Source organism: Homo sapiens, chromosome 1, assembly GCF_000001405.40.
Source record: "Homo sapiens chromosome 1, GRCh38.p14 Primary Assembly".
In the NCBI taxonomy this organism is placed as follows: domain Eukaryota; kingdom Metazoa; phylum Chordata; class Mammalia; order Primates; family Hominidae; genus Homo; species Homo sapiens.
Genome location: NC_000001.11, coordinates 9,961,201 through 9,976,813, shown reverse-complemented (window position 1 = coordinate 9,976,813; position 15,613 = coordinate 9,961,201). Strand labels below are relative to the sequence as shown.

At 46.1% G+C, this 15,613-nt stretch overlaps 1 protein-coding gene and 1 non-coding gene across 11 annotated transcripts in view; both read right to left on the bottom strand.

Annotated features, from left to right (window-relative positions):
* Positions 1-15,613, bottom strand: part of NMNAT1 (nicotinamide nucleotide adenylyltransferase 1) — a 53,970-nt gene that overhangs the window by 20,079 nt on the left and 18,278 nt on the right. For all 10 annotated transcript variants that reach the window (NM_001297778.1, XM_047428077.1, XM_017002108.3 and 7 more), the window contains exons 2-3: positions 4,626-4,796; positions 1,039-1,222 (exon numbers count right to left, since the gene is read on the bottom strand). In NM_001297778.1, the coding sequence (NP_001284707.1) occupies positions 1,039-1,222; positions 4,626-4,740 (299 nt within the window). In that variant the 5' untranslated portion in view covers positions 4,741-4,796. The remainder of the gene's footprint in view (positions 1-1,038; positions 1,223-4,625; positions 4,797-15,613) is intronic.
* Positions 9,356-9,433, bottom strand: MIR5697 (microRNA 5697). The gene has a single exon (NR_049882.1). It is a non-coding gene; the product is annotated as a microRNA 5697 (primary transcript).

The following is a 15,613-nucleotide window of genomic DNA, read 5'->3' as shown; positions in this document are numbered from 1 at the left end:
CTCTACTAAAAATACAAAAACATTAGCGGGGCGTGGTGGCAGTCACCTGTAGTCCCAGCTACTTGGGAGGCTGAGGCAGGAGAATTGCTTGAACCCAGGAGGCAGAGGTCGCAGTGAGCCGAGAATGCACCACTGCACTCCAGCCTGGGTGACAGAGCGAGACTCCGTCTCAAAAAGAAAAAAAAAAAAGAGAAATAATTAGATGTCACTTACTCTGGTTTTTGAACCCTTAACTAGAACTGCTTCAAAGGTATGGGCACAGAGATCTGTGACTCCCTGCCCAGATGCTGTCATGGAAGCAGCACACGAATCAGGCCTGTCCATGATCAAGCAGCACTGGATGCTTCTCTTCCTTAAATTATCTGCCTGTCTCTTTTATACTTAGGAAGACTGATGATAATAACATCTTCTTGCAATTTTCCCTTTCTCATTTGGGGCACAGAAAGCCCAGGCAGGCTTCCTCTATTTTCTAACAGTGGTATCACATAGTAGCAAGCAAGCAAACATCTTTTTTTTTTTTTTTTTTTGAGATGGAGTCTCGCTCTGTCACCCAGGCTGGAGTGCAGTGGCACAATCTTGGCTCACTGTAACCTCCATCCCCGGGGTTCAAGTGTATCTCCTGCCTCAGCCTCCCAAGTAGCTGGGATTACAGGCATGCGCCACCATGCCCGGCTAATTTTTGTATTTTTAGTAGAGACGGGTTTTCACCATGTTGGCCAGGCTGGTCTCGAACTCCTGACCTCAGCTGATCCACCCGCCTCAGCCTCCCAAAGTGCTGGCATTACAGGCGTGAGCCACCGCGCCTGGCCGCAAACAACTTAAAACATAATGAAAGACACAGAGGGGCTAAGGAAGACCCATCCTTTGGTGCTGTGCTCTACAGTCTTGTAGTAACCTTCCACAGGAATGGCTTACAACACACGTGACAGTTTTGCAAATCTGTATGTTCACAGATGTAAGCAACATTGAAACATGGTAAAAACATAAGCCGCTTAGCCATTTACACAGAACTGACAAAGTTGATTACACCATAAATACCTTAGCACCTTCAGAGTCTCTTTCCACTCCTTCTGAAGACTTTCCCATGTATCAACTTCCACCCATTTAGAATTCTTGGTAGCAAGTTCTGCCATGATGACCCGGTGATAGGCAGGAATGAGTCCTTTCTTCTTGTAGGCATCACCAACAGGAGAGATGATGCCTTTGACAACTGTGTACCTTCCTAGATAAAAAGTTAGGTTTCACACTAGGTATAACAAATTAGACTTTATGCACAGGAAATATTACGATCAATATTATTTGTTTTGTTTTGTTTTTTGAGACAGAGTCTTGCTCTGTTCCCCAGGCCGCACTGGAGTGATCTCGGCTCACTGCAACCTCCGCCTCCTGGGTTGAAGCAATTCTCCTGAGTCAGACTCCTGAGTAGCTGGGATTACGGGCGCATGCCACCATGCTGGTTAATTTTTGTATTTTTAGTAGAGATGGGGTTTTTACCATGTTAGCCAAGCTGGTCTCCAACTCCTGACCTCAAGTGATCTGCCTGCCTCAGCCTCCCAAAGTGCTGGGACTACAGGCATGAGTCACCACACCTGGCCAATATTGTTTTATAATCACAGATTCTCTTTCTTTAGGGATTCCAGCTTATTAGCTGATCAATTAACTGACTGAAATTATGGTAAAATATACCCAAGCGTACAGTTCTATGATATTAACTGCAAACATGCTGTTGTGCAACCATCGCTCCTATCTATCTCCAGAATTTTCTCATCTTCCCCAACTGACACTCTGTACTTCACCTCATTCCCCTATACAGTTAAATTTCTATTGATATTGCCAAATTACTTTGTAAAAAGCCTTAATTTGTATTGTCCACCTAGATGTATGCAAAAGCCCATTTCTCAATGTCATAGGCAAATAGTGAGCTTTAGCATCCATCCATCCATCTACCTATCAGCATATTATATGATCATTTATGTAACAAAAAAATCGAGGCCAGGTGTGGTGGCTCACACCTGTTATCCCAGTGTTTTGGGAGACCAAGGCAGGAGAATCACTTGAGCCCAGGAGCTCAACACCAACATGGGCAAAACAGTGGGACCCAGTTTCTACAAAAAATTAAAAAATTAGGCCAGGCGCGGTGGCTCACTCCTGTAATCCCAGCACTTTGGGAGTTCGAGGCGGGTGGATCACGAGGTCAGGAGATCAAGACCATCCTGGCTAACACGGTGAAACCCTGTCTCTACTAAAAATACAAAAAATTAGCCAGGCATGGTGGCGGGCACCTGTAATCCCAGCTACTCCGGAGGCTGAGGCAGGAGAATGGTGTGAGCCTGGGAGGCGGAGTTTGCAGTGAGCTGAGATCATGCCACTGCACTCCAGCCTGAGCGACAGAGCAAGACTCTGTCTCCAAAAAAAAAAAAAAATTAGCCAGATGTGGTGGCATGCCTGTAGTCACAGCTACTCAGGAGCCTGAGGCAGGCAGCTCACTTGAGTCCGGGAGGTAAAGGCTGCAGTGAGCTGTGATCATGCCACTGTACTCCAGCCTGCCCAGCCAGGGTGACAGAGTGAGAACCATTTCCACAAAAAAAAAAAAAAATCTGTGTATACACACAAATGTTTGCATATAAATTCATACAAAGAAGAGTGGAAGGATACACATGAAACTGTTATGGTTATGCTATGTTATGGTGGCTCATGCCTGTAATTCCAGCACTTTGGGAGGCCGACGTGGGAGGATCACTTGAGAACAGGAGTTCAAGAGCAGCCTGGTCAACATGGTGAAACCCCATTTCTACTAAAAATACAAAAATGGGCCGGGCATGGTGCTGTGTGCCTGTAATCCCAGTTACAGGGGAGGCTGAGGCAAAAGAATCGCTTGAATCCAGGAGGTGGAGGTTGCAGTGAGCCAAGACTGTGCCACTGCACTCCAGCCTGGGCGACAGAGCGAGACTCTGTAGAGTCAAGGTTTCGCCACATTGGCCAGGCTGATCTCAAACTCCTGACCTCAGGTAATCTGCCCCTTCTGCCTCTCGAAGTGCTGGGATTACAGGTATGTGCCACCACGCCCAGCCTATTCATGCATTTTTTTTTTTTTTTTTTTTTTTTTGAGATGGAGTCTCGCTCTGTCACCCAGGCTGGAGTGCAGTGGCGACATCTTGGCTCACTGCAAGCTCCGCCTCCCAGGTTCACGCCATCCTCCTGCCTCAGCCTCCCAAGTAGCTGGGACTACAGGCACCCGCCACCATGCCCGGCTAATTTTTTTGTATTTTTAGTAGAGATGGGGTTTCACCGTGTTAGCCAGGATGGTCTCAATCTCCTGACCTTGTGATCTGCCTGCCTTGGCCTCCCAAAGTGCTGGGATTCCAGGAGTAAGCCACCACGCCCAGCCTCATGCATTGTTTATGAAAACTTTTAGCTGGGTATGGTAGCTCATGCCTGTGATCCCAGCACTTTGGGAAGCCTGAGGTTGGGAGTTTGAGACCAGCCTGACCAACATGGAGAAACCCCGTCGCTACTAAAAATATAAAAAATTAGCCGGGCGTGGTGGCACATTCCTGTAATCCCAGCTACTCAGGAGGGTGAGGCAGGAGAATTGCTTGAACCCAGGAGGTGGAGGTTGCAGTGAGCCGAGATCGCGCCACTGCACTCCAGCCTGGGCAACAAGAGTGAAGTCCATCTCAAAAAAAAGAAAGAAAGAAAGAAAAAAGAAAACTTTTAAAAAGCTGTGCCTGATCCTAGAGGTTTTATGTATGCTAAAGTACAAGCTTTCGCTTTTTGCCTTAAGTAATGGGAAACTCCTAAAGAAGATTAAGCACAGGCATGACAGAATCAAATTCCTTTTTTTGGGGAGGGGTGGTCAGGGTCTTGCTCTGATGTCCAGGCTGGTGGGCAAAGGTGCAATCATGGCTCACGGTAGCCTAGACCTCCCGGGCTCAAGCAATCCTCCTACTTCAGTCTCCTGAGTAGCTGGGACCACAGGCACATGCCACCATACCTGGCTAATGTTTACAATTTTTTTTGTAGAGATGAGGTCTCTCTCTGTTTCCCAGGTTGGTCTCAAACTCCTGGCCTCAAGTGATCCTCCCACCTCGGCCTCCCAAAGCACTGGGATTACAGGTGTGAGCCACTGTACCTGGCTGTATTTTCTATTCTACAGGCCATAGCCAGATGCTCAATTCTTCCCTCATACTTCACCCTCTTTTTTGGCTAAGAATTCACTGTACAAGGGAGCAGGACAGCATGTTTGTGCCCAGTCAATGAAATGTGTATTCTGAAACAGACCCAGTCATGCCGGTTCTCTAGTATTTTTTTTTTTTTTTGAGATGGTGTCTTGCTCTGTCTCCAGGCTGGAGTGCAGTGCAGCAATCTCAGCTCACTGCAACCTCCGCCTCCCGGGTTCAAGCGATTCTACTGCCTCAGCCTCCCGAGTAGCTAGGACTACAGGCACAGTGAATTTTCGTATTTTTTAGTAGAGACAGGGTTTTACCATGTTGGCTAGGATGGTCTCGATCTCTTGACCTTGTGATCTGCCCGTCTCAGCCTCCCAAAATGCTGGGATTGCAGGTGTGAGCCACTGCACCCGGCTGGTTCTCTAGTCTTAAGCCACTTTTGGTTACTGCTCCTACCTGTTCCATTCATGTAGTCCTTGGCCAGCTCAAACAACCTGAGGTGCATGTTGGTGATGGGATTGAATGAACCACAAGCAAGGAGAACCACTTCAGTCTTCTCGGAATTTTCCATGGTAAGAACTTGAAGTTGTTGATCTAAATGGAAAACTGTGACACCTCCCTTGTTGTCTACAAAGGAAAAAGAAAATAAATTCAGTTATGCATTTTTTTTTCCCTAAGATAAGGTCTTGCTCTGCCACCCTGGCTAGAGTGTAGTGATGCAACCACAGCTGACTGCACCCTCAAACTTCTGGGCTCAAGTGATGCTCCCACCTCAGCCTCTCAAGTAGCTGGGAACACAGGCACATACCAATAGGCTGGCTAATTATTTTAAAGACTAATTTTTGTAGAGATGGGGGTCTTGCTATGTTGCCCAGGCTGCTCTCAGACTACTGGTCTCAAGCAACCCTTCCACCTCAGTCTCTCAAAGTGCTGGGATTACAAGCATGAGTCACCACGCCCAGCCCAGTTATAGGTCTTTTGATGTCCTTCCACATTCTCATTCCCAATAGATGGATTAAAAGTATTTGGCTTTGGCTGGGCGTGGTGGCTCACACATGTAATCCCAGCACTTTGGGAGGCTGGGGCGGGTGGATCATGAGGTCAAGAGATCAAGACCATCCTGGCCAACATGGTAAAACCTCGTCTTTACAAAAAATACAAAAATTAGCTGGGTGTGGTGACAGGCACCTGTAATCCCAGCTACTTGGGAGGCTGAGGCAGGAGAATCACTTGAACCCAGGAGGCGGAGGTTGCAGTGAGCCGAGACTGTGCCACTGCACTCCAGCCTGGCGACAGAGAGAGACTCCATCTCAAAAAGAAAAAAAAAATTGGCTTCAATCATTATGCTAACTCTAAAAATGTTTCCACATCTCCATCCCTCCTTTTCAATGTGAATCTGCAACTTCTACCATGAAGAGATGGAAGTGACTTCTCCACATTTTTTGACTTGCTTTGGGCAAAAGAATGTGGCACAAGTGTTAGTGTGGAGGATGCCAGAACATGTGGGAGAGCACCGATGCTCCCACTGATAGACAACCACCCCACATGTGGGGAACATAGCCATCCCCGACCAGCCAACTACAGTCCATCTGCTCAGACACATAAGCAAACCCAAGTGAGATCAACCAAACCTGGCTCAGATCGTCAAGCCAACAAGCTGACCCTAGTCTCAAAAACAAAAAATTAGTGTTCATTATCATATGTCACTCAAGTTTTGTGATTGCACTATTGTGGCCACAGTTAATTAATACAACAATATTATCATCTACCAAATACAGCATTTTTGCCTTTTAGTCAACATGATAGTAACATCATAACTTTCCACTAAATAATAGAATATAATTTACAAACCTCTTTTTCATATCAGTTATTCCACTGATCCTTCCATAACCCTAATGAAGTAACATAAGGCATCCAATTTTAGGTTTTTATTAAAATTTCTTTTTTTTTTTTTTGAGACGGGAGTCTCACTCTGTTGCCCAGGCTGGAGTGCATTGGCGCGATCTCAGCTCACTGCAAGCTCCGCCTCCCAGGTTCACACCATTCTTCTGCCTCAGCCTCCCGAGTAGCTGGGATTACAGGTGCCTGCCACCACACCTGCCTAATTTTTTGTATTTTTAGTAGAGACGGGGTTTCATCATGTTAGATGGTCTTCATCTCCTGACCTTGTGATCCGCCTGCCTCAGCTTCCCAAAGTGCTGGGATTACAGGCGTGAGCCACTGCGCCTGGCCTAAAATTTCTTATTCAACTAATTCATATATATAGATCTAGAACATCACAGGGTAAAAAAGGCCCTTAATGAAAACCAACAGCCATCAATCATATTCCACTCATCATCCCTTCCATCCAACCACTTTTAACTTTTTCAGCTATTTCTTCTGGTAGTTTCTACCATAACTCTACATTATGTGCTTATAATGCCATTTCTTAATTTATCCAACTATAACAGTGCCCATTGACTTTATGATCTATAAAGATTAGCCCTCATACCCTTTGACTACCTTCTCCCAAACTGCCCAATATAGTTTATCTCCAGACTATGTTGAAAATCATCTTCTCTCACAACTTCAAAGGCATTACTTCTAGATTCCAATGTTAATAGCATGAAATCCAAAGCCACTTCTAATTCCGGAGCTTTTGAATGTCATTTTTTTCCTGTCTTGAAGCATGTAAGGTCTTCTCTTTGTCCGCAGTGTTCTGAAATTTCACAGTGCTGTCCTCTAGTGCAGCTTTGTTTCTATCCATCATGCTGAGCACAGGGCAAGCAGGTCCTTTCAGTCTGGAAACTTGTAACATTCAGTTCTAGAAAATGTCCTTGAGTTCTTTCATTGATGATTTTCTGCCTCCCATTTTATCTGTTCTTTTGAAATGTCTATTATTTATTTATTTTTTTGAGACAGAGTCTCCCTCTCTCACCCAGGCTGGAGTGCAGTGGCACGATCTCAGCTCACTGCAACCTCCACCTCCCAGGTTCAAGCAATTCTCCTGCCTCAGCCTCCCAAGTAGCTGGGACTACAGGCATGCACCACCACACCCAGATAACTTTTGAATTTTTAGTAGAGATGGGTTTCACCATGTTAGCTAGGCTGGTCTCGAACTCCTGGCCTCAAGTGATCCACCCACCTCAGCCGCCCATGAACCACTGTGCCTGGCCTGAAAATGTCTATTATTTAGAGCTGAAGCATCTAATCATTTTTTCTGTATTTTCCACCTCCTGCCTTCATGCTCTAATTTCCTGATAGCCTCAACTTCATCCTCCAATCTGCCTAGTTTTCACTTCTGCCATTACACTCTTAATTTCCAAGAGCCCTATCCTCTGAATACTCCTGTTTATGGTATTCTACTCATTTCCCCAACAGATTATCATCTCTATTTCTCTACCAATATTCATGATATATTTTAAAGTTTCTTCAAAAAGAGCTGATGGGACAGGCTGAGTGGGTAGGTAGGGCTTGTGCACAGGGGCCATAACTGTTCAGTAACCTGTCAGTACCGCAGGTCTTTTTGCTTGGATTAGTCAGACTCTACAAGAAAGTATCCTACAATTTCCCGCCTATATAACAGAAGAGTTAAGAGCCTATGCTCTGATATTAGGCTGCCTGGCTTCAAATTGCAGCTCCAACGGCATGACCTTGGGCAACCTAACCCTAACTTAACCTTCCTTTTGTGCCAGGTTTTTTCTTTGGCTTTTTTTTTTTTTTTTTGAGACAGAGTCTCGCTCTGTCACCCAGGCTGGGGTGCAGTGGTACGATCTCAGCTCACTGCAACCTCTGCCTTCCAGGTTCAAGCAATCCTCCCTGCTTCAGCCTCCCAAGTAGCTGGGATTACAGGCACGTGCCACCACACCTGGCTAATTTTTTTTTTTTTTTTTTTGAGACAGAGTCTCGCCCTGTCGCCCAGGCTGGAGTGCAGTGGCATGATCTCGACTCACTGCAAGCTCCGCCTACTGGGTTCATGCCATTCTCCTGCCTCAGCCTCCCGAGTAGCTGGGACTATAGGTGCCCGCCACCACTCCTGGCTAATTATTTTTTGTATTTTTAGTACAGACGGGGTTTCACCATGTTAGCCAGGATGGTCTTGATCTCCTGACCTTAAGTGATCCACCTGCCTCGGCCTCCCAGAGTATTGGCATTACAGGCATGAGCCACAGTGCCCACCTTGTCCCAGTTTTTAATCAATCTTAAAAAGGAGAAAATAATACTACCTACCTCCTGATTGTTGTGAGGATTAAATGAAACAATACAGATCCAAGACATAGAACTACATTTGGCAGGCCAGGCGCGGCGGCTCACGCCTGTAATCCCAGCACTTTGGGAGGCCAAGATGGGCAGATCACGAGGTCAGGAGATCGAGACCACCCTGGCTAACATGGTGAAACCCCATCTCTACTAAAAACACAAAAAAATTAGCCAGGCGTGGTGGCGGGCACCTGTAGTCCCAGCTACTCGGGAGGCTGAGGCAGGAGAACGGCGTGAACCCAGGAGGCGGAGCTTGCAGCAAGCCAAGATCGTGCCACTGCACTCCAGCCTGGGCAACAGAGCGAGACTCCATCTCAAAAAAAAACAAAAAAAAAAACTACATTTGGCAAATAGCAAACATGCTATGAATATAGCTATTATGAATGTTGCAAATTATGTTACTAGAATTGTCTTTTGTTTTTTGATTTTTGAGACAGTATCTCACTCTGTTGTCCAGGCTGGAGTACAGTGGTACAATCTCAGCTCACTGCAACCTCCATCTCCCAGGCTCAAGTGATCCTTCGACCTCAGCCTCCCAAGCAGCTGGGACTACAGGCATGCACTGGCTAATTGTTTTTTTGTATTTTTTGTAGAGATGGGGTTTTGCCATATTGCCCAGGCTGGTCTCAAACTCCTGGGCTCAGAATCTCGAAGCGAACCTGTCCACTTTGGCCAATTCCAAAGTGCTGGGCTTACAGGTATGAGCCACTGTGCTCAGCAAGCAATTTTTTTTTTAATCAACAAAACATCAATTTCAAATGGTTTAATTTACAATTGCTATTCTATTCAATCTGTTTTTTTCCCAGAGGATTTTCTTTCTGGAACTCTCCTCCTCTTATCCAGATGAAAAATCTCTATTTGTGAAGCTATTATTCTGAAAACTTCTTCATCTCTTTCCTGGGTTAGATCCCCTATTTATTTCTCGCTTTGCTTTCTAATCTTTCTGGAGCGTATCCTCAAGCGTTTCATGATAAAGGGTTGATCTCTCATACACCCTTTATCATGAAACTACTTGAGAATATGCTCCAGTAGGATTCGTGGGAGATCAAGTAAGTTTGATAGGCGCATGGGAGATCAAGTAAGTTCGACGATGTTGTTATTCTTCCTTCAATTATTAATGGCTTGAGAAAATTCTTTTCAACTCAATAATTTCAAATAATTTTTTTTTTGCGGGGAGCCGGGGGGACTTAGTTTCACTCTGTCACCCAGGCTGGAGTGCAGTGGAAAGATCTTGGCTCACTGCAACCTCTGCCTCCCAGGTTTAAGCAATTCTCCTGCCTCACCCTCCTGAGTAGCTGGGATTATAGATGCCTGCCAACATGCCCAGCTAATTTTTGTATTTTTAGTAGACACAGGGTTTCACCACTTTGGCCAGGTTGGTCTTGAACTCCTGACCTCAGGTGATCTGCCCGCCACGGCCTTTTAAAGTGTTGGGATTACAGGCTCGAGCCACTGTGCCCAGCCCAAATAATTTTTGAAATTATTCTTTTAAGATTATAAAGGCACTTCTTCATTGTTTGCTGGCATTCAACATTGCTGTTGAAAGTCTGAGGTCATTCTAATCCTTGTTCCTTTATGTGTAACCTGCTTTTACTTTCTAGAAGATGTGTAGTATATTATCTTATCCCTAGTACTCTGGAATGCCCAGTGATGACAGTATCTTTTTCATTCATTGTACAGAACCTTTTAAATGCTGCCTACTAGTTTTCAACAAGTTAAAAAAATAACTTTGCTATTGTAAAGGTTTTCAAATAAATATTTGTATATAATTATATATACATACTTTTTTTTTTGAGACTAAGTCTCACTCTGCTGCTCAGGCTGGAGTGCAGTGGCAAAATCTTGGCTCACTGCAATTTCCATCTCCTGGGTTCAAGCGATTCTCCTGCCTCAGCCTCCTGAGTAGCTAAGAATACAGGTGCCTGCCACCATGCCCAGCTAATTTTTGTATTTTTAGTAGAGATGGGGTTTCACCATGTTGGCTAGGCTGGTCTTGAACTCCTGACCTCAGGTGATCTGCCTGCCTCAGCCTCCCACAGCGTTGGGATTACAGGCGTGAGCCACCGCGCCCGGTCAATAATATTTATAAATAATTTCTTTCTGTTTTGAGATGGAGTCTCCCTCTGTTGCCCACGGTGGAGTGCAGTGGCACGATCTCAGCTCACTGCAGCCTCTGCCTCCCAGGTTACAGTGATTCTCCTGCCTCAGCCTCCCAAGTAGCTGGGACTACAGGCATGCCCCACCATGCCTGGCTAATTTTCGTATTTTTGGTAGAGACGGGGTTTCACCATGTTGGCCAGGCTGGTCTCAAACTCCTAACCTCAAGTGATCTGACTGCTTCAGCCTCCCGAAGTGTTGAGATTACAGGCGTGAGCCACCGTGCCCAGCCAAATACTTCTGAATAAAATTTTTTTTTTTGAGAAAGGATCTCGGTGTGTTGCCCAGGCTGGAGTCCAATGGCATGATCACAGGTCACTGCAGCCTCTGCCTCCTAGGCTCAAATGATCTTCCTGCCTCAGCCTCCAAGTAGCTGGGACCACAAGCACATGCCACCACACCTGGCTATATTTTTTAAATCTTTTGCAGAGACAGGGTCTCACTATGTTGTCAAGGTGGGTCTCAGATTCCTGGCCTCCTGCCTCAGCCTCTCAAAGGGATTACAGGCATGAGCTACTGTGCTTGGACTTCAAAATAAATATTCTTGGCCAGGTGCGGTTGCTCACACCTGTAATCCCAGCACTTTGGGAGGTCAAAGCAGAGAGATCGCTTGAGGTCAGGAGTTCAAGACCAGCTTGACCAACATGGTGAAACCCCATCTCTACCAAAAATACAAAAATTAGCGAGTGTGGTGGCGCACACATGTAATCCCAGGTACTTGGGAGGCTGAGGCAGGAGAATCACTTGAACCTGGCAGGCAGGGGTTGCAGTGAGCCGAGACTGCACCACTGCACTCCAGCCTGGGTGACAGAGCGAGACTCTGTCTCAAAATAACAACAATAATATAAAAATTAAAAAGTAATAAATATTCTTATATATCCAAAGAATGTCTTAAAAATAATCATTCTGAGATCTTTTTTTTTTTTTTTTTTTGAGATGGAGTCTCGCTCTGTTGCCAAGCTGGAGTGCAGTGGCACAATCTCAGCTCACTGCAACCTCCGCCTCCTGGGTTCAAGCGATTCTCCTGCCTCAGCCTCCTGAGCATCTGGGACTACAGGCCCACGCCACCACACCCAGCTAATTTTTGTATTTTTAGTAGAGACAGGGTTTCACCATGTTCGCCAGGATGGTCTTGATCTCTTGACCTGGTGATCCACCCGCCTCGGCCTCCCAAAGTGCTGGAATTACAGGCATGAGCCAACACACCTGGCCCTGAGATCTTATAAATATAATTCCAGTGACATAATCTTGCTCAAAGTATTTTCAAAACTTTGGGGAATTTTTTGTAGAGCTTGAAGCTTTTTTTTTTTTTTTTTTTTGTCGCCCAGGTTGGAGTGCAGTGGCACAATCTTGGCTCACTGCAACCTCTACCTCCCTGGCTCAAGTGATTCTCCTGCCTCAGCCTCCCGAGTAGCTGGGACTACAGGTGTGCGTCACCATGCTGGCCAATTTTTTGTATTTTTAGTAGAGATGGGGTTTCACCGTGTTAGCCCAGGATGGTCTTGATCTCCTGACCTCATGATCCGCCTGCCTCGGCTTCCCAAAATGCTGGAATTAGAGGCATGAGCCACCGTGCCTGGCCGCTTGAAGCATTTTTATAATTAACATAGAAATATAGCAAATGACAATAAACACATCAATAGTTATATGCTACTTTTGGTTTACAAAAACAAAAGTATAGAATACTTTTATTTTTTCTTTTTGAGACGGGGTCTTGTTCTGTCACCCAGGCTGGGAAAGCTGGGAGGTTTAGCTTGAACATGGCTCACTGCAGCCACGATCTCCTGGGCTCAAGGATCCTCCTGCCTCAGCTACTCGTGTAGCTGGGACTGCAGGCACACATCACCACACCCAGCTTATCTTTCTATTTTTTTGTAGAGAAGGAGTCTCATTTTGTTGCCCAGGCTCTGCTTCCCACTTTGGGAAGTGGAGGTGGGAGGATTGCTTGAGCCCAGGATTTCAAGACCAAGGGCTCAAGTGATCCTCCCACCTACACTTCTCAAAGTGCTGGGATTACAGGTGTGAACCACCACACCTGGCTTTATAAAAATACTTTCGGCCCGGTGTGGTAGCTCACACCTGTAATCCCTGCACTTTGGGAGGCCGAGGTAGGTGGGTCACTTGAGGCCAGGAGTTTGAGACCAGCCTGGCCAACATGGTGAAATCCCATCCCTACCAAAAGTATAAAAATTAGCCAGGTGTGGTGGCTGGTGCCTGTAATCCCAGCTACTTGGGAGGCTGAGGCACAAGAATTACTTGAACCCAGGAGGCAGAGGTTGCAGTGAGCTGAGATCACGCCTCAGCACTCCAGCCTGAGTGATAGGGTGAGACTCTGTCTCAAAAATAAAATAAAATAAAATAAAATTCATACACATTGTCATTTGATTCTCACTGCAAAAAAATAACTTGGCCAAAAGCAATTAGCATGTTCCAAATGATAATCTATAGTTAATTCAGTTTTTCCAGTTAATCTTCGACCTTTGGATATTTAGGTTTTTCTAATTTTTCACTATTACAAACATCTCAAAAAAGAAATAATGGGGGCCAGATGCGGTGGCTCACGCCTGTAATCCCAGCACTTTGGGAGGCTGAGGTGGGCGGATCACGAGGTCAGAAGTTCGAGACCAGCCTGGCCAACATGGTGAAACCGTCTCTACTAAAAAATACAAAAATTCGCTGGGCGTGGTGGTGTGCGCCTGTAATCCCAGGTACTCGGGAGGCTGAGGCAGGATAATTGTTTGAACCCGGGAGATGGAGGTTGCAGTGAGCCTAGATTGTGCCACTGCACTCCAGACTGGGGGACACAGCAAGACGCCATCTTGGAAAAAAAAAAAAAGAAATAGTGGGTTAAAAATAAATCTGGAAATTAAGGCTATGCAATGCCTCACTGTGTACATCTAAGACTTGGCAATACTGAAAACACCTGTGTCAAGACTGTTCATTTGTAGCCCAATAGTAGTCAGACATAACTGCTAGGCTGACCAACTTGCTTTTGTTCAGATTTTATGCTGTCAGTGGACAAAGCTAGTGAATGGCACATCAGGACTAGAATTTAGGTTTCCTGACTCTTAAGCTCTCTCACCAAGAAGAAAAATGGGAGATAAACTGGAACAGTGTAGATTGGAATTGAGCCCTCTCATAGCTAAGGAGTTGAGAAATATAAACTTTAACCCCTTGGACAATGGGAACCTTTGAAGGTTTCTGAGCAAAGGAGTGACAACAGGGTTCTCAAAATAATATGACATGGGTGTTAAAAACCCTTATTTGGGGCCAGGCACGGTGGCTCACACCTGTAATCCCAGCACTTTGGGAGGCCGAGACGGGCGGATCACGAGGTCAGGAGATCGAGACCATCCTGGCTAAAACGGTGAAACCCTGTCTCTACTAAAAATACAAAAAATTAGCCGGGTGTGTTGGCAGGCACCTGTAGTCCCAGCTACTCGGGAGGCTGAGGCGGGAGAATGGCGTGAACCCGGGAGGCGGAGCTTGCAGTGAGCCGAGATCGCGCCACTGCACTCCAGCCTGGGCTACAGAGCAAGACTCCGTCTCAAAAAAAAAAAAAAAAAAAAAACCCTTATTTGGTTGTGTGATCTTGATTTGATCTCTTAACTCTGTTTTTAGGTTCTTTATCTGTAAAATGGAGATAATGAGAAGGCCAATCTCAGTTACTTTGAGGATTAATTCTGAGGATAAACATGGCAAGGGGCTTAGCATATTGCCTGGCACAGTGTTAAAATGAATGGTAGCTGTTATTTTTTTTTTTTTTTCAGACGGAGTCTCGCTCTGTCGCCCAGGCTGGAGTGCAGTGGCGCGATCTCGGCTCACTGCAAGCTCCGCCTCCCGGGTTCACGCCATTCTCCTGCCTCAGCCTCCCAAGTAGCTGGGACTGCAGGCGCCCACCACTACGCCGGGCTAATTTTTTGTATTTTTAGTAGAGACGGGGTTTCACCATGTTAGCCAGGATGGTCTCAATCTCCTGACCTCGTGATCCGCCTGCCTCAGCCTCCAAAAGTGCTGGGATTATAGGCGTGAGCCACCGCGCCCGGCGGCAGCTGTTATTTTTGAGGAAAGTGATGTTACTGATGACAGTGATGATTTGGAATTCATTGGACGGGATGAAACAAGATAGGAAAAGCAGCCACAAATAGTCAGTGGAAATGGAAGTAAGAAAGATACTTGGGGTCCGGGCGCGGTAGGTCATGCCTGTAATCCCAGCATTTTGGGAGGGCGAGGCAGGTGGATCACCTGTGGTTGGGAGTTCGAGACTAGCCTGACCAACATGGAGAAACCCCGTCTCTACTAAAAATACAAAATTAGCCAGGTATGGTGGCACATGCCCATAATCCCAGCTACTTGGGAGGCTGAGGCAGAACTACTTGAACCTGGGAGGTGGAGGTTGCGGCGAGCCGAGATCATGCCATTGCACTCCAACCTGGGCAACAAGAGCAAAACTCCGTCTCAAAAAATATATATATACTTGGGGCCTTCTCGAAAGAAGGCACAGTGGTGGGATCACAGGGACACTGCTAACTGTTCTTAGGGAATAACGGAGAAGGTTCAGTAGTAGTCACTAGGGCATTAGAAAAAAATGAGTTCATCACTAAGAATGATTTAAATGTCTTACCTTTCAGTTACCATCAAAAGTATCATACCATGATTCACTTGGGGCTTGTACCCATACCCTTTATCCCTACCCCAGGCCCTCGATACCCATAAAAACTACCAGTGGTATTATGGGAGGGGGTGATGAATGCGACATGCCCATAGTACCCTGAGGCCTACAGAGAAATCAGGGTATCCACCAGCCACTGAGCATGCTCTCAAAGACTGGTGGAGGGGCTGGGTTCAGCTGGCACCAGACAGACAGCTGGCGTCAGACAACCCCGCCCATCTCAGGTTTCAGTTACTATTCCCAAGAGAGAGATGGAAGAAGGGTAAGGCTGAGTTCGAGAGGTGTGGGTCCTCAAGGGAGCTGCTGCAGTTCTGAAGCAGACTTCAGGGAAGGATGGAACAAACAGCTTTTAGCCCTACACTTGGGGATAAGCTTA